The 18644-nt window shown below is 39.0% G+C and overlaps 1 protein-coding gene and 1 pseudogene across 17 annotated transcripts in view; both read right to left on the bottom strand.

Annotated features, from left to right (window-relative positions):
• The window catches only part of NCOA7 (nuclear receptor coactivator 7), a 150920-nt gene that overhangs the window by 55383 nt on the left and 76893 nt on the right, over window positions 1-18644 (bottom strand). For all 17 annotated transcript variants that reach the window (XR_007059204.1, XM_047418206.1, XM_047418207.1 and 14 more), the window contains one exon: window positions 1684-1763. Coding sequence is in view for 16 of the 17 variants with exons in the window: in XM_047418206.1 (XP_047274162.1) it covers window positions 1684-1763 (80 nt within the window). In the remaining variant the exon portion in view is untranslated. The remainder of the gene's footprint in view (window positions 1-1683; window positions 1764-18644) is intronic.
• Window positions 1154-1484, bottom strand: RN7SKP56 (RN7SK pseudogene 56; annotated as a pseudogene).

The following is an 18644-nucleotide window of genomic DNA, read 5'->3' as shown; positions in this document are numbered from 1 at the left end:
CACTTGTTAATATTTAATTAATTCGGAGTTTGATTTTTTTTTTTTTTTTTACTGTCACTACATTATTCAGTATATACTATATGAAGTAACTCCTGGCAAAAGCACCTCTCCATTCTTTGGAGGAGCATGTGAATAAAGGTGCTAGACACATACAGATCTTAATGATTATGGCTTTAGAAGTAATATTGTTATTAATAATAAATAATTGAGTCCAATACTTCTTGAGTGCCTATTTTGAGGTAAGGCACTATTCTAGGTGTTATGAGAATCAACAGTATATTTTAGACAATGGTAATATAAGATATAATCATCCCAAATCCTTTCTAAAAATGACTATGCTTATACACTTTAGAAAGATGTCTAGAGACGTTCACAGGGCATTGATCATGAAAGCCTGTGACAGAGATCTTCAATGTGACTCTACAGAGGCTTGCAGATTTACTATTGCAAAAGAAACACCAGCAAAGAATTAGATCTTGCTGCCTGTCTTATATAGGGTCTGGCATTGCTTACAAATAATGACTATAAAATAAGTACACATTAGGAAAATACAACCAGGCAATGGCAATAGTACTTAATTTCTTCTTAGAAGTCAAAGAGAACACTCCTCAAGAGTGCTACTTAATAGTGAATTAAAATATATCTACAACTGAGTCCCCACTTTGTGCCAAGCCTAGGATACATAAGATACAACTCCCGGCCTCCAGGAGCTTATGATGCAGTGACAGAGATGAGCACATGGCACACAGTGTGGAGTTGTAGTAATGAACACACACCTAGCATTGTTCATCTACTGCTCAACAATATGGAGATCTATACCCTGCAAGTTACCAGGAATATAATGGTGAACAAAGAGATGTCTAATCTCTCTTCATGGATATATGAATTAAAGCATGAGATAGAGATTAAAATAACAACACGCTAATGAATTAATAATGTTAAACTGAGATAAATTAAGTTAAGCAACATGATTCTACGAGAATGTTAAAAAAGGGATATGGCCTAGACTGGCTGGAAAAATCACAGAAGGTAGTAACGAACATGGAGAGTAAGGGGATGAAGATGTCAAGAATTAAGTTCTAGCCTGCACAAATGTAGGAATGATGGAGCCATTGTTTCTTGAAAGACGACCAAGCATGGAGGACCAGGTGGATATGTTGAGTAGCCAAATGAGTACATAGCTTTGGAACTTAAAAAGAATGTCTGGGTTGGTGACCTAAAAGTGGTAGTCCCTGTTTATATCAAAAATAATTCAAGTCATCAGTTTGGAGGTTCTAACAGGGCAACACAGTTACTAGAATACCCGTGACCCAAGAAATGTCCTCCTCTATTGGGGAAGGTCATCCTCTTCATCCAAGCTCCAGAGGGATGCACATGGAGTGGTGGGGGAAGAAAGGGATACCTGCCTAGTCAGCCAGATCAGCCTAAACAATGCTGGTGGTCAACAGGGTGATGGATGTTGCAGCCAGATCACCCTCACATTCTCAATTCACTGGTTTATTTGAGATTGACCAGGGAGAAAATATGGAGGAAAAAGAAATGACCTAAAACTGGTCTTAAGAAGCTTGATTGTTTAATGGGTACACAAGAGGAATGCAGCCAAGGGGCAGGATGTGTCAGGGAAAACCATTATATAAATGTAGTGCTATTAACAAACATTTATACCACCTTGGTTATACTCACAGTGTATTCCATAGTCCCATGGGGCTTCTGAACCACCATCTTCTTCTCTTTTTTATCATGTGTTTTGTTTTGATTGTCATCTGAAGAATAAATTGTATGTAAATGAATAATTTCATTTTCAGGGACTGAAGCCAGGGTAAAACTACCATATATAGAAACCCACTTTCAAATCAACTGACAAAAAGACACTAATAGGAAAATGGACTCAGGGCACAAATAGATCATACTCATAAAAGCACACTATTCGTCCTGAATAAATGATTAATATTAACTATAATTAAACAATATAAATAAAAACAATGAGGTAATGTTTAGTTACTAATGGTTTAAATGATAATGTATAATGATTATGAAGTTAGAGTAAAACCAGTAGAGTTACCATATAAATGATGCCTAATGTAAATGAGTACAGTCCTTTTAGAAAGTGATTTGGCAATATGTAACAATAGCCATAGAAAAGTTCATTCTGAATCAGTAATCCTTCTCTTAGGAATTTATCCTAATGACAAATTCAAAAGAAGAAAAAGGCTATATATCAACATATGGTCACTGCAATACTATTTATAACAATGAAAACAAAAAGAATACGTCCAACAACATACTAAGTTGGACCACGGATTTTACTATTTTTCGGGCTTTTTTTGAGACAAGAGTCTCACTCTGTCACCCAGGCTGGAGTGCAGCGGCACGATCTCGGCTCACTGCAACCTCTGTCTCCCGGGTTCAAGCAATTCTTCTGCCTCAGCCTCCCGAGTAGCTGGGATTACAGGTGTGCGCCACCATGTCCGGCTAATTTTTGTATTTTTAGTAGAGACAGGGTTTCGCCATGTTGGCCAGGCTTGTCTCAAACTCCTGACCTCAGGTGATCCGCCCGCCTCAGCCTCCTGAAGTGTTGGGATTACAGGTGTCAGCCACCACATCCGGCCAGATTTCACTGTTTTTAAAGGTCAAAAATGGCCAACATTGGCACCTGCATATGATTCAACCTAACTGTCAGGGTTAAATACATCTCAATATATTAATTCAGATATCAGAAACCCCAGAACCGTACTGCAATAGATAAAAATGTGACAAAAAGAATATAAAATTGAATTAACCATGAAAAGATGCTCCAACCTGTATGTGATCAGAAAAATGCAAATGAAAACAATGTATCATTTTATACCTATTAGCCTGGTAAAATCAGAAAGCTGTATAATTCCAATGTTGACAGAAATGTGAACCACTACAAGGAATGTAAACTGTTCAGTCATTCCAGAGAATTAAGTATATATAGCTCATATGACCTAGCAATTTAACTCACAGATAAGCATCCTCTCCCAACAGGTATATACTTTATGTACATCATAAGGGACCTGCTGAAGGATGTTCATCACAGTATTATCTATGGCAATGGGGAGCTAGAGGGTAAATAAAGCATGATAGGTAAGCTCTGAGATTCCAGAGCAATTAGATTCCAGCAATTAGGAATAACAAGCCAGAAATATACACCAAAAGGGTAAACAGGTTTACATCAAGAAAAACTGAATGGGATGTTAGTGTCCATCTGTTTTAAACATACATCACAGATGGACACTAAAAAAAACACATAAATAATTTTCATAGGTACATAAAAATAAAAACCTATATACATTGAACACAATAGAATAGTGTGAAGTGGGGGAAGAAATGGGAGTGGAGAATGAGAATAAAAGGGAATGAATGATAAATGACAAGAAGCCCGGCTTGGACCAGTAATGACAGACCACGATCTGAGAAGGTTGATTAACTCAGCCCCCTATGTCTGAGGTCCTACCAGCACACATACACACACACGGAAATGTCTCAACGATATCATTTCATCTATATCACAAACATGGGGGTCCTAGATGAAGACTGAGGGGTGACATAGAAACATGAACATAGTTGATTCACATAGGATTTATCTGACTTTTAAATATTTCCTTTAAATTATTTAAAAATTAAAGCTACGAGGAAAAAATAAATTTAAATAGATGCTTCCATTACAGTCCTGTTCTAGTCATCCGTATCTTCAAATCAGAACCATTCACAGAGCCAAAGAGACCCTGAACATTCCTCTAGACTATAAAAAATGATCTCCCTGCCTACAGGCAACCACACCTAAATTACTTCAGGAAGACAGGACTATTGACTATGTTTTTAGATCTCCAGATAAGGAGATTCAAAAGTGCAATCACCATATTTTACGAATCTTATGACAGAACAAATGTAAAAACTAGTTTGTGTAGTTCTTGGCAGATAAGCAATAAAACATTAACAATACTCGTCTTTCTTTCCTTCTAAAGAATCTGAAAAATTTCAATTGTTTGTTTTTGCTTTGTTTATGTGGTAGATGAATACCCCAGGCTAATTCTTCCCATAGTTCCTTTTGGGATTAGGTTAAGTGTTGTTCATTCCTTTTAATATCTCAGCTCCATTTTCTTTGTTGCATACTTCTGCCCTTCTTGCTGTCATCATAAACAGCTGTCACTTTAGGTCTTCGTGCTTTCAGAATAGTCTCTTTATATAATTTTGTAGGTAGCTTCCTATTTCTAGAGCCCACAATATGCTTCCTTCTTCCCATATCTGGCAGCTTCTGGCCAACGCCCTTCCATAAGCTGTAGCTAGATATCTCTGGTCCCAATGGGGAGCGCTACTAAAAGCCACCAACTGGTGACAGTTTACATATTGCACAGCTACAAAAGAAAAATATGTGTTTGCTGAGCCTTTCAGGATAAACTTAACTATGTTCACCTGAATTAGTACAAAAATTAAATTACCTTCCTTTGCCACAGGTGGGTAGGCTAGAAAAATGTCAAGCATGTAATATTACTAAAGGAAAAACAAAACAAAACAAAACAAAAAAAACGCCTTCCCTTCAGAGTCTAAGATGTTGAGATCATGGAGGTAAAGACCGTGATGATGCACCCATCCTTAAATGTCTTGTGTCTTTTTTTTTTTTTTTTTTTTCTGAGACAGGGTCTCCCTCTGTCACCCAGGCTGGGGTGCAGTGGCACTAACATGACTCACTGCAACCTCCACTTCCCAGACTCAAGCAATCCTCCCACCTCAGCTTCCCGAATAGCTGGGACTACGGGCTCATGCCACCACACCAGATTAATTTTTGCATTTTTTTGTAGAGACAGGGTTTCACCATGTTGCTCAGGCTGTTCTCAAATTCCTGGGCTCAAGTGATCTGCCCGCCTTGGCCTCCCAAAGTGGTGGGATTACAGGTGGGAGCCACTGCACCTGGCCTTGTCTTGTATTTATAGTTGAATAAACCTTCCAGTACAGATGAATAAGCCTGATGAGTTTGATTGTGAGGCAACACTTTTCACTGATGTAACATCACACCAGGCAAATCATGTGCACCTGCCAAAGCCACAAGGCAAATACTATGTTTTACAGTTGGCTCAATAGAGAAGCAAAGAGGATATAATTTAATTGTCTTTATATCATTATAGCTCAAGGCAAGGTTTCATATTACTTCAGAAATAATTGTTTTGCAGTGAGTTGAAAAGATGGTTAACTATGTGTCTCAATGAGTGAAGTCCTGTGTGTCTGGGACTGGGTGCTGCAGCACATAGTCCACAAAGCACTGGAGGTGCTTCTGGCCCTGGCGAGATCTAGGACGAGGCATGAGCTGCCATGGGAAAGGACTGCTCCATTGTGCTTTAGAATGGTGCTCCAACCCTAGTGTTTTAGGTAAGGATCCATACCCATCCCAAAGAGGGCAACTGTCTTCCAATGACACTGACCTTTCCAACTTCAGGTCTCCTCACAGACCTTTCTACCTACCCAAATTCTCACCCTCCCCGTGTACAAGAACCTAAGGCAAATGACGCAAAAGTATCTACTGCCAAGGGAAAAGTTGGCCAAGTGTCCCTCAGAAGCCATTTAGAGCAAACTGAACCTCATACTTGCCCACCTCTGAAATAAAGTCTTCAGAGCAGGTTTTCCCTGGTCCCATAAGGAGTACCTGTAACAAAACTGACCAAACCCCTAGAGGAATAAAACACAGGTCCTTCAGCCTAGCCCATTTCTTTCTGCATAAATCCTGGAGGTAAGAGCTGGAATGGGGAGGAAGAATGGGGTACCTGTGTTGACCTCAACCCAAGTGGATCTTGGTGCCCTGTCCATAAGTCCTGCCACCTCCCTTGCCACACCATAAAAGGGCCTGGAGTGTCCAGAACACAAGACTCTAAGATCCTGCATCTGAGATAATCCCCAATACAAGTTTACAGAAAGAAGACTCCCCTCTCTCTCTCATGAACTGGGGCTAAAAGAAGATGTTACCTAGCAGTATGCCTGGGGCCTGGAGGGGCATGACAGCCAGATGTGAAGATATCCCTTGTAGTGGTGATACTGAAGTCTTGGATGAAGCTATGACATCAAGAGAATGAATAAATTTTAAAAGGAGGCCTGAAGTTTGAGAACAGAAACTAAGGAAGGCTTAGATTTAAGGACTGAAAAAAATATGGCTGATATAAAGGGGGAAAAGCAATTAGAGGGATGGGAAAATGAATGCAATGTCACAGAGGCCATGGAAAAAAGGAAGGTGGTGTTGACACTGTGAAATGCTGAACAGAGGTCCAGAGATGGAAACCCAGAAATGGATGACTGGAATTCACAGAGAGGTTTTGAAAGTAAAGGGAGCTCAAGACAGATGCTGTCAACATCACCAGTAGAGTAGGGGTAAGGTCATCTACTAAAATGTAGTGGACTAAAGACAGGACTGAGGGAGTAAGAGTAATGAGATTTGGAAGAGTTACCATGGCAAAAATGAGGTTTCAAAAATGTGAACATTAAGAAGTAACACTATACTCTGGGGTGGGGGTCTCAACACCGGGGTAACAGGCCACATAAGAAGTAAGCAAATAAGCGGCTACCTGTATGGTTATGATGCACAGAGCAAGGCAGCTGGAGCTGGATGAGCAGTGGCTGAGATACAGGTAGTGAGATGTTGGAATAGTTAGGGGAATGGCATGATGAACTAGTTTCCTACTGTTTCTATAACAAATTACTACACATTTGTGGTTCGAAATAAAGCATAAACACAGATTTATTATTTTACAGTTCCATAGATTAGAAGTCTGGCATGGGTCTCACTACTTTCCTTCTGGAGGGAGAGTAGGGGAGGACTGGTTCCCTTGCCTTTTCTCTCTCTTGGAAGTGGGCTACTTTGGGCCCTGGAAGCAGGGCCTTGAGCCCTGGTTTTTCTCCGAACCAGCATATCTAGCCAGTTCTGCGTCTGCAGGAAGCTTCAGCCAAGGCCCTGCTTTCACCCGCAGAGCCAGCAACGCTGCCTGAGTAGTCTCACGTGCTCTCTCCTGCCTCCCTCTTTCACTTTTAAGGTCCCTTGTGATTGCACTGGGCCACGTTGATAGCCCTGGAAAATCTCCTTAAGGTCAGCTGATTAGCAACCTCAATTTCATCTATAGCCTTGGTTCACCTTTGCTATGTAACCTAACAGGTTTGGGGAAATAGGACATGGACATCTTTAGGGGGTCATTAGTCTGCCTGTCAGAATTGGAGAACAGATCTGTGGGAAAAGACAAAAAAAGAAATTGAGATTCAAATAAGAGATTTTTGAGTACCAAAGTAGTGATGTGAGATGTGGACATTGAGTATGCTGGTGGGGGGGAAGACTGGGGAGGGTGTCAAGAAACGAACTGGCTAGATATGCTGGTTCTGAGAAAAACCAGCAAGAACAAGTCAATACATAATGTCCTTCAAACCGGAGCATCTGGCTCCTGTCACAGGCCCCTGGGGACTGGGTGAACTCAGGACAGTGGACATGATTCATTATTGTGCTTGAAAACAGAATCCGTACAGACATCTGTGAATTCTCTGGATCTTGATTCCATAATTTCTACTTAGATATAGGAAGGGAAGAAAAGATAGTACGTAGCCTTTTTTTCTGTTATTAACAAGTATCTGAACAAGCACAAACAGAAGTTTGGAAAATTATCAGGTTTTTAAATTATATCAGGACCAGTTCTGCATGGGGCTTAAACTTACTATGTGCCCCTTCTTTCTTTACTCACCCATGAACGACCAGCTCTCTCCTCCATCTATTTCTATCATAAGAGCATCTGAAGGGGGTTCAGGAGGCTGACAGCACAGGACCATCAGTAACTCTACTAAAGAGGGAGGATGGTTTCTATGACATCCAAATGAGGGGAATTCAAAGAGGCAAAAATTGTCTGTGTCTCTATAGATTTTTCAAAGAAAGGGGTACCCTGATTTATGAACAGGAGAATCTGTTTCCAATGACAGGCATGTCCCTATAATGGAAACAGATCCATTCAACTATGATTGCTGAAGCAGTTTGATAGTATTAATTATAAAATCAAGTCATGTACCATCTCACTTATGTCATCAAACACCTTTCTGATCACAGGTTGGTTTAGGGGTCAAAATGAGCTGGGTTTAACTAGCAACCATGACACATTTTCATAGCCACGTGATATTAATCAAGTTAGCTAAATCTTTGTGCAACGGTTTAGCTGTAAAATGAAATGCTGAGAAAATTAAGCTGATTCATACAGTGTTCATCTCAGAGCCTGGCACAGAGCACATGCTTAACAAATGCTATTGTTATTTATAATAATGTAGTCAACACAAGTAAATAGCAATGTGAATAGAGTAGTATGTTAAAACAATTATAAACCATGAGCAAAAAGGTTTCATCCAGAAATACAGCAGTGATATAGTATTAATATGATAAAGCTTTATAAATTGTTTAACAGAGAAAAAGAATCTGATCATTTTGATACATGCTAAAAAAGCATTTGACGAATTAAACAGCCATTATTGTATTTTTAAAAAGAACAAAAAAATTCCAACTGTTAGAAAACTAAGAATAGAGTGAACTTCTTTAATGATGAATATTTATTCTTGATATTCACTAGAAATATGCTTCTGAAAAAGCAATGCAACGCTAAAGAGTATATACGAAAAGGAATTTCTTCATAGGAATGAAAACTGAATGACTTCACGATGTCACTTCCAGGTCTATAGAAGCGGGCTTATTACCGAAACACCGCACTGGTGAGGCCCCACCCCCAGCTTTCTGGAAGGAAGATTCCAGGTGAGCAGAGGGAAAAATAGCCCCAGGCACTGCATGAGCTCCACCCCCTTTCTTTGGTTCCAGTTGTGCCAGGAAAGGCCTAAATTGCCTAACAGCAATTCTAGCACAGTGTTTAAGGTTTCTGGGCACGGTATCCACCAATTTAGTGGTATGCACTAAATTACAACATAGAGGCGAACCTAATGTGAGGCTAAACCACAAGTATTTCAGGTCATAAAGAAAAAAGCCTTGTAGTGGAGATAAAAGCAGCAACACTACAAACATAATGGAAACTCCAGGATAAAGAGGGAATCCCTGCCATTCATCAGAGGCTACCTTGCACAGCACCACAAGGCAATCTCTGTGCTTGAATGCACTACAGGTACCCACATGCTCAACGTCTCTTGAGAAATTAAGCACTATTCTAACCTCTCCTAAAGTACACCTGTATAAACTGAGATGAGCTCTTATATCAGAAACCAAAAGGAAAAGAAGTACTTTTTTTAAAGTAAAACATTACCAATATCAATTTATGGTTTATACCCAACTTGGTTCTGAAATCTAGTCAAAGCAACAGATGAAAAGTTTTAAATACTGAGAAGAAATGAAAATGTGGTCATTAGCAGATAACATAATTGTCTGTGTAAAGAACCAATATTATCATGAAAATGTCAAAAATTCATAAAGTTGTTCACTAAGGTGGCCAGATATCATAATTTTTAATTTTTGTAACAGAAGCGTAATTGGAAAAGTCCCAGGTAGAGTGGTATCAAACTATATGACATCTAGGAATAAATATAACAAGACAATGACAAGATATACATAAATAAAATTAAAATGCTTAACTGAAGTGTCTAAATGGATATAATACTCCTAAGTAGGAAATCTCATCTTTAAATAAATATTTCACTTTTTTCAAATTAATGTTTAAATGCAATTTAAATAAAAAATAATTTTTTATGGCAAAGGAACAGTTTCCAAATTGAAAACCATGCTTATCTAGAAGCACAAATACATAAGACTATCCAAAATTATTTTTCAAAGAGAAGTGAGGGTAAGCACACTCTAATGATGTTGAAACACATGATTATAAAGCCACAGCAATTAAAACATTGCAGTGACATCACCAAAAAACAGAAATTTGGTGAAAATAAAAGCACCATTATAAATGAGAGGAGGCTGGATTTCCCCATAAATATCATGTAACTTAATGTTGGAGGGAAGGTTTTGGCATCAGATGGACTGTGAATGAGAGTCCTGGTCTACCATCTGCTCACTAGGTAACCTTGGGGAAGTAACTTAAAGACAGTCTCCCAGTGCACAAAATGGAGATACTGCTGGATTCCCAAAGAGTTACCCTAAGAATTTGATAAGGTGATTCAGAAAAAGCACTTTGCAATGTGCACAGTAAGGGTTCAAGGGACTTTAAGGATTATAATTAAATGAAGCTAGGTGAATAATGGCTAAGATTTGGAGAAAAATTTGGACCACTCTCAAATCAATGCAGAGAGATTCAAGACTGAATAGCAAAAAATAAAGTTATATATCTTTTTTTTTTCTTTTTTCTGAGACGGAATTTCGCTCTTGTTGTCCAGGCTGGAGTGCAATGGCGTGATCTCGGCTCATCAAAAACTCCACCTCACGGGTTCAAGCGATTCTCCTGCCTCAGCCTCCTGAACAGCTGGGATTACAGGCATGTGCCACCATGCCCAGCTAATTTTGTATTCTTAGTAGAGACGGGGTTTCTCCATGTTGGTCACGCTGGTCTCAAACTCCTGACCTCAGGTGATCCGCCCGCCTCAGCCTCCCAAAGTGCTGGGATTACAGGTGTGAGACACTGTGCCCGGCCTAAAGTTATATGTCTTTGAAGAAAATATAGCACTTATATCTGCCTAAAGAATGTCTTCTTGGCCAGATGCAGTGGCTCACACCTGTAATCCCAGAACACTGGAAGGCTGAGGTGGGAGGACTGCTTGAGGACAGGAGTTCAAGACATGCCTGAGTAAGATGGGCAGACCCTGTGTCTACAAAAGAAAAGAAAGAAAGAAAGAAAGAAAATATAAAAATTAGCCAGGCGTGGTGCTACATGCCTATAGTCCCCGCTACTTGGGAGGCTGAGGTGGGAGCATCACTTGAGCCCAGGAGTTTAAGGCTACAGTGAGCTATGATTGCACTACTACACTCCAGCCTGGACAACAGAGAGAGAGAGACCCTGTCTTTAAAAAACATAAAATAAATAAACTTTAAAAAGAAATAACACCTTCTCTATTGGCGATGCACACATCTCAAATTATTGACCTGACTCTATAAAAAGCACAATTAAAACATTCAGTATTGTTAGGTAGCACTTTAAGAGAAACCTAAAGTATAAGCTGTTATAATTAAATTAAAAAAAAAAAGATGTGTCAGGGAAGAATGAACCCTATACTCAATATGAACTCTGTTTTAACCTGTGGCACAAAGGAAAATGTCATGCAGTACATGTTACCTACCTTCCTTCCTTCAAGCAAGTCACAGGTAACATAGTTCTCGACTAAAATGAGTCATACTGTGCTAAAATCTAAAATGCAAGGCTTAAAGCACAGGGAAGTTACCAATCTTATAAAACGTTTTGCTCTAGAATCTACTACTGCACTCAGCATGGAGAAGGTCCTCCTCGTTTGTGGAAATAAGTCAGGCTTTGGTGCCAAAGAGGGCAGGGTATGAATCCTGGCTGCATGCTAGCCAACAGTGGATCCCTGGCCAGTTACTCAGCTTCTCAGTTTTTACGTTTGTAAAATAGGCTACATTTTTTGTAGCAGATCATAAGTCCTAAATTAAATAGTGAAATAAAGGATCTAACACAAAGGAGACATTCATGGAAAATAGTTCTTTCTGCTCTTCCTCGTGTCTGATGTTGCTTCTCCTCCTCTTCTTACCCTCTTTCCCACCCTCCAAAATACTTTATTGAAAACAGCTTTTTCTTTTCATAAATGGATCAAGGACAATAATTGTGCATATGAACACTTCAGAAGAAAACAGAAGAAATATGAAAGCCAATTTCACGTGAATCAAAACTATATACAGCCATTGTCTTAGTATATTCAGGCTGCTATAACAAAATACCATAAACTGGTGGCTTAGAAACAACAGTAATTTATCTCCCAGAGTTCTGGACACTAGGAAGTCCGAGATCAAGACACTGGCAAACTCGGCGTATTTTTCCCTCATCCTGGCTCGTAGATAGCGCATTCTCAACCAGGCAGCTCTCTGAAGTCTCTTTGCTAAGAACACTAATCCCAATCATGAGGTCGCCACCCATATGGCCTCATTACTTCCTAAAGGTCCCACCTCCTGATACTATCACGTTGGGAAGTAGGATTTCAACATGTAAATTTGGGGGTGGGTGGGGGGACACAAATATTCAGATCATAGTAGTGATTTTAAAACACAAATAAATTTAAAAAAAAAATAAAGGTCATCCATTTTCCCTCCAATCAGAGAGACTGATGTTTGCATTCTGGTGAATACACTTCTAGAAATTCTCTATACCTCTTTTTATATGCATGTAGGTGAATTATTTTTTTAAACAAAAATGGAATCATAATCAGTAACTATTGTCAACCGACTTTTTTACTGTAGTATTTGGTGAAAATTTCCCATATCATTAACTATTTTTCTACTTCATTTTAAAATGGCACATAGTATTCCATTTTATATCATTTATGTTATTTTTCATATTCCTGCTACTTTAAACAATGCAATGATAGTTACTGCAGTTAAATCTTCTAATATGCTCATGACTGTTTGCTTAGGATGAATTTCTAAAAACAGAATTGTTGGGTCAAAGAGTATGCAAAAAGGGTCTTGATAAAAACAGCCAAACTGCCCCCCCCAAAAAAACCTGACCACATCACTCTTCAACCATCAATGTATTTGCTAAGATTTTAATGTTATGTTCCCCCAAAATTCATATGTTGAAATCCTCACCCACAAGTGTGTGGTATTAGGAAAAGGAGCCATTGAGGGGTGGTTAGGTCATCTTGGCAGTACTCTCATGGATGGGATTATTGCCCTTATAAAAGAGGCCAAAGACCCCTCACCCTTCTACCATGTGAGCTCAGAGTGAGAGGATGGTGGTCTATGAGGATATGGGCTCTCAACACACTCCACATTTGCCAGTGCCTTAATCTTGGACTTTCCAGCCTCCAGAACTGTGAGAAATACATTTCTGTTATTTATAAGCCACTCAGTTATATGGTATTTTGTGGATCGAGCAGGCCGAAGACAGAATTAGAGTATTTTTCCTCTTTTATCCTTCCTAGTTTACTTCTAATTTAATTTTTCAAAGCTTAAAACCCCTGACTGTACTTAGTTTATTTGTTATCTTTCCCTCAGCCCAAACCACATTTGGGCATTTCTCTTACAATGAGATTTTTTATAATGCAAGTGAATATAACAAGACAGATTAAGTAGGGTATGAGATTTGCATTATGCAGACTACTATGATTATAATGGAACTAAACTCTGAGTTCAAGCTCACACACAGTACAACAGGCTTGTTAAGATACAGTTGCTTTTGTATAGTGACTGTACCTTTTTGTTTCAACAATGACAAGAATGGGTTACAAAATATTGTGTTAATTAGAGTGCTGGGGCTGTGAGAGGTCAGGAAAGGAGTGTCCCTTGAAACAAAGCTGGTGCAATCACAGGTGTACTCAGGGGTGTTTGTTTTACAGCTACTTAACTGTGAACATTCATGCTCCCTAACTACTGGAGTTTCTAAGGAAATATAACTGATTTCTAGATTCTAAATTCCTTTTCCCTTTTGGAACAATTTTCTACAGAACACAGTTTACCATATTTTTAATATTTTTAGTTTTTAAGTAAAGTAGGGTTTTTTGTTTGTTTTTTTGTTTTTTTGAGACGAAGTCTCACTCTGTCACCCAGGTTGGTATGCAGTGGCACAATCTTGACTCACTGCAACCTCTGCATCCTGGGTTCAAGCGGTTCTCTTGCTTCAGCCTCCCCAGTAGCTGGGACTACAGGCATGCACCACATGTCCAGCTAATTTTTTTGTATGTTTAGTAGAGACAGGGTTTCACCATGTTGGCCAGGCTGGTCTTGATCAGGTGATCTGCCTGCCTTGGCCCCCCAAAGTGCTGTGATTATAGGCATGAACCACCACACCTAGCCACAGGTAAAGTAGTTTTTGCCAACAGTGTGAATGGAAAAGTCAATAATGTTGAAAATGTTATCAAACATTTTCAAAAGTGATGATGTAGAAAACAGAAAAAAGAGAGAGAAAAAAAGCAGCAACAGTCCACTGAAGCCCACAGTGGCAAAAATGCCATTCACGTGGGCACTGCCAAAATGACCTAATTTGTTCATAAATTTGTTTAAGGTAATCTACAACACAAAAGGTCTCTTTCTTGAGTTCTTCTATGTCTGAGAATGTCTTGTCTTTGACCTTGAAAAACAGCTTTTGCCTCATAAGTCTGAAGAGATTTTAATTCCTCTGGCATTCACCACTATGAAGAAGTCTGTTTCTTTTTTCTTTGCTCCTTTGTAGATAATGTTTTAAAAAGATCATCTCTTTATCATTTATTCATGACCTGTAAACATTTGCTACAGTTATTCGGAGGACTGAGTATTCCCCATAATTCTGCCTAACTAAGGTAAGCTCTTATTTCTCCACTTAGGCATGAGTTTTAGCTCATGAAAGCATCTTCTTATCTGATTCCAGCTTTGATGACTGTTTTTACTCCCGTGGTTCTATCCTCTTCACCAAGAACACCTTTGATCCTCAGACTCTTCATTCACGTCTCCCCTACCTGTCATCTTATCACTTTCTTTTTTTTTTTTTTTTTTTTTTTTTTTGAGAAAGAGTTTCACTCTTGTTGCCCAGGCTGGAGTGCAATGGTGGAATCTCGGCTCACTGCAACCTCCACCTCCTGGGTTCAAGTGATTCTCCTGCCTCAGCCTCCTGAGTAGCTGGAATTACAGGCATGTGCCACCACGCCCAGCTAATTTTTGTATTTTTAGTAGAGACAGGGTTTCTCCATGTTGGTCAGGCTGGTCTCGAACTCCTGAACTCAGGTGATCCACTCACCTCCGCCTCCCAAAGTGCTGGGATTATAGGCGTGAGCCACCACGCCCAGCTTCTCTTATCACTTTCATTCCTTCAGCCACACTGCATGCTTTCTGGGGGCACACCTCAGGTTTGTCCTCTCACCACCCAGGTATGTCACGAAAACACTAATTTGACTTCTTTGATGGTCCCAAGAAGCACAGGCCTAACTATTTTCATCCAAATAATTTCCATTTATTTTATACCCAAATCTCATTCTGCTTGATTAAAAAAATATTAATTGGATTCTTGGCATCCTTTTTCTACATGAAAATCCATTTTAATCCTATATTCTTTGATGTTTTAAGATCTAAAGTACCAGGACGATCATTACTTTTGAACAGAAGAGCAATGTTATTAGACATTTGTGGCTTGACCTGTTTATGTTTAGAAGTTTATTTATCAAATATAACATAACTTTGGCTCTTTGAACTTGCCAAGTAAAACGAAGACAAATGATGGACATGAAATCTTCACATGTGTAGTTAGGAAAAAAAACATTAAGAAAAAGTAATCTGTGTATGGAAAAGTGTTGGGCTGCCTTTGTGAGAAATAACTTAGTAGTCTGTTACTTCCACATTGTCAAAAAACCAAAACAGACAGCAAAGGAAAAGCAGAGGATTTCATTTATTTTTTTAAGTTTCTTTTGAGTTCAGGAGGGAAAACTATGATTTGAAATGATTAATATAGACATTACACATTTTATATTGGAAGCTAAATTCATTCTTTGTACTGCAGAGGTTCTCTTTAAATAAATCTTTGACTACGATAATCACAAAATGAGCTATGCTCTCTTATTTAAGTCTTTTATGTTTGTTATAAGACCTCCCAAGTATAATTTTCTTAAAATTCAACTTCACTATCCAAGATCTTGGTATTCACATTTTATATTAAAACATTACATAATCATAATAATATATTTTATCCCAATTTAGTCTTGTCCCCCCTTATTTATAATATGTGCCCATCTCTTTCCAATCTTATGGCTGCACAGCTATGTTTCAAATGAAGAACTTCCCGACACTGAAATGTTACCCATATTTGTAAAATTTCCATTTCTATCTCCATATTCTTAGAAGCAAAGATGTTCACTATTCTAAGTTTAAGAAATAATGAATTCCTTTAATATAAAAGGATCCGGGCGGGGTGCTGTGGCTCACGCCTGTAATCCCAGCACTTGGGGAGGCCGAGGTGGGTGGATCACTTGAGGCCAGGAGTTGGAGACCAGCCTGGCCAACGTGGTGAAACCCCGTCTCTACTAAAAATACAAAAATTAGGTGGGTATGGTGGCGTGTGCCTGTAATCTCATCTACTCGGGAAGCTGAGGCATGAGAATCACTTGAACCTGGGAGGCAGAGGTTGCAATGAGTCGAGATTGCACCACTGTGCTCTAGCCTGGGCAACAGAGCAAGACTCTGTCTCAACAAAAAGAAAAAGAAAAAGTATCCTATGATATAGTTCATGTCAATTTAATTATTTTGATATTGTAATATAGACCAAACATCTTTTAATACATTTATAAACATTCCAAGGTGCTTGTATCAAATTTAACTTAATAACTAATTTTGAAAAATATATTGACACATTTTCACCAAAAAATTCCTTAAGAGTTTACCCAAACAGAATAAATGAAAAAGGAGTACTTTATATATTAGTAAACACAAATGAAAGCACGAAAGGGCTCAGTTCACTCATTCTGGAAGGTTTTTTTGATGCTTAATTTGTGCCAGGTGCTGCGCTAGGTGTTGGATCTAGATTTATCTGATGCCATCTGCCTCAATGTAATCACTCTGCTTCCTTTCTCCTACTTCCCTCTCAAAAAACAAGGCATTTTTAGAATTAGCACCATGTTGTTATGAGGCAATTCTAGTGACTCAATCTTTCTGAAGCATCCTTTATTAGTATCTGAACTGTTGTGTTTTCCTAAGTGTCAGGAGATAGCAATGACTTATTACCCAAGGATTAAGTGAGGCACAGATAAAAGTAATTTCACAAGTAAAAACATTATTTTATCGAAATACACTTCTTTGGATCAGGCAGATGATGTTATAGATGTGGAATAGATACCTACAGAAAGTAATTATTTTGTTATATATTGCTTATAGAACTTCGTATTTGTCTAATGCTTTTGATTTTTGCAAAGCCCTTACTTTTACTTTATTTTCAACTCTATTTTCTGATTATTAATATTAAAAATAACTATGTGTAATATACAAAAAAACTGCCTCAAAATTTCTGTAACCAGAGAAAACAACTATCAACATATTGTTACATATCCTCCTAGTCTTTTTTTCGATACATTCATTATTACTTGTTGTCCATTAACTTTTCATTTTGGCTCTCTGTGCATTCACTGGATTACTTTTGTTTTACACATGCAGATTCTTCTGATACCTGTAAGTAGCAATTTGTAGGCCTTTCACATGAAATCTAGGCCCCTCTAGACAAATCTACCTGGCAGCTCAAAAACATCTCCAAACAAATTCATTATCTTCTTTCCTCCTTCTTGAGCTTCCTAGTCTGTCAATTTTTGCCTCTGTTTTTTTTTTTCCTCCCTCACACACTACACTGACCATCAAATGCTGCTGTGTGCCCCTTCGGTGTGCCCCTTCCCCTAAGCCCTAGTCTCAGACCAGCACAGCCTGCCTTCTTCATATCAGATTCATCACAGAGTTGATGGTAAACTAAATGTAGAGCAAACAAAAAGTAAAGAATTTCCTTTTCCCTTGACATTCTCCTCCAATGGCTCTCCACTGACTACAAGGTAAATCCCAAATCCTTAGCAAGCCAATGAGATCCTCCCATTTTCAAGTCTCCCCTTCCCTCCCAGACTAGAGCCACCAAAAGCAGCAGTGAACTGGGATGCTCTTGACTTGAGGTCTGATGCTCCATCTAGCGGTAGAGAACATCGCCTTGGGATGGGACTGAGAAACACGCCAGGTCAGACGCTGGGAGAGCCAACAAACCTGCCAAGATGAGAGTTTGTCACCTCTAGTCAGATTTGGAAAGGGTCTAGGTGGAAAGGTGAATTCCACCTAGAGGTTTTATCTAAGCACTGGCTTCTCCTGAGGAAATGCCTCAAACCTCCAAACCGGTTGCTATCATTGTTATTCTTGAGAGATGGTAAGCTTTAATGGCATTTCTTTCTTTTTTTTTTTTTCAGAGACAGTGTCTCGCTCTGTCACTCAGTCTGGAGTGCAGTAGATTTGTGCACCTTCCAACTCCTGGGCTCAAGCAATTCTCTCACCTCAGCATCCCAAGTAGCTGGGACTACAGGTGTGTGCTACTATGCCTGGCTAATGTATTTTTTGTAGAGGCAGGATCTTGTACATTGCCTGAGCTGGCTTTGAACTCCTGGCCTCCAGTGATCCTCCTAACCTTAGCCTCCCAAAGTGCTGGGATTACAGGTGTGAACCACTGAGCCTGGCCACATTTCTTTACTTACTGCTACCAGATAAATCACAGGATACTTCTGACCCAATGACTACACTATTATCTATGTTCTTCCAGAGTTTTCTTGAAACTCCAACAATTAAAAATATTCATTTATCTATGTATTAACTATTCCTTTCAATGCACACTTAAAGAGCACACGTCAAGCTGAAGACACTACACAAAGCTAATACTCTAGGGTCTAAGTCACCCCAGCCTGTACATAGGTAATCAAATACATCCATGATAACAATGCAGAAAGGAAGTCTAACCTGGACAGGGACAGGGAGGGCTTCTGGAAGAAATGATGACTGAGCTGATTTTGTTAAGTCAGGTAAGAGCCAGTCA

This window comes from Homo sapiens, chromosome 6 (assembly GCF_000001405.40).
Source record: "Homo sapiens chromosome 6, GRCh38.p14 Primary Assembly".
Lineage (NCBI taxonomy): Eukaryota > Metazoa > Chordata > Mammalia > Primates > Hominidae > Homo > Homo sapiens.
Note: the sequence above shows the minus strand (reverse complement) of the source record. Positions and strands in the feature narration are given on the sequence as shown.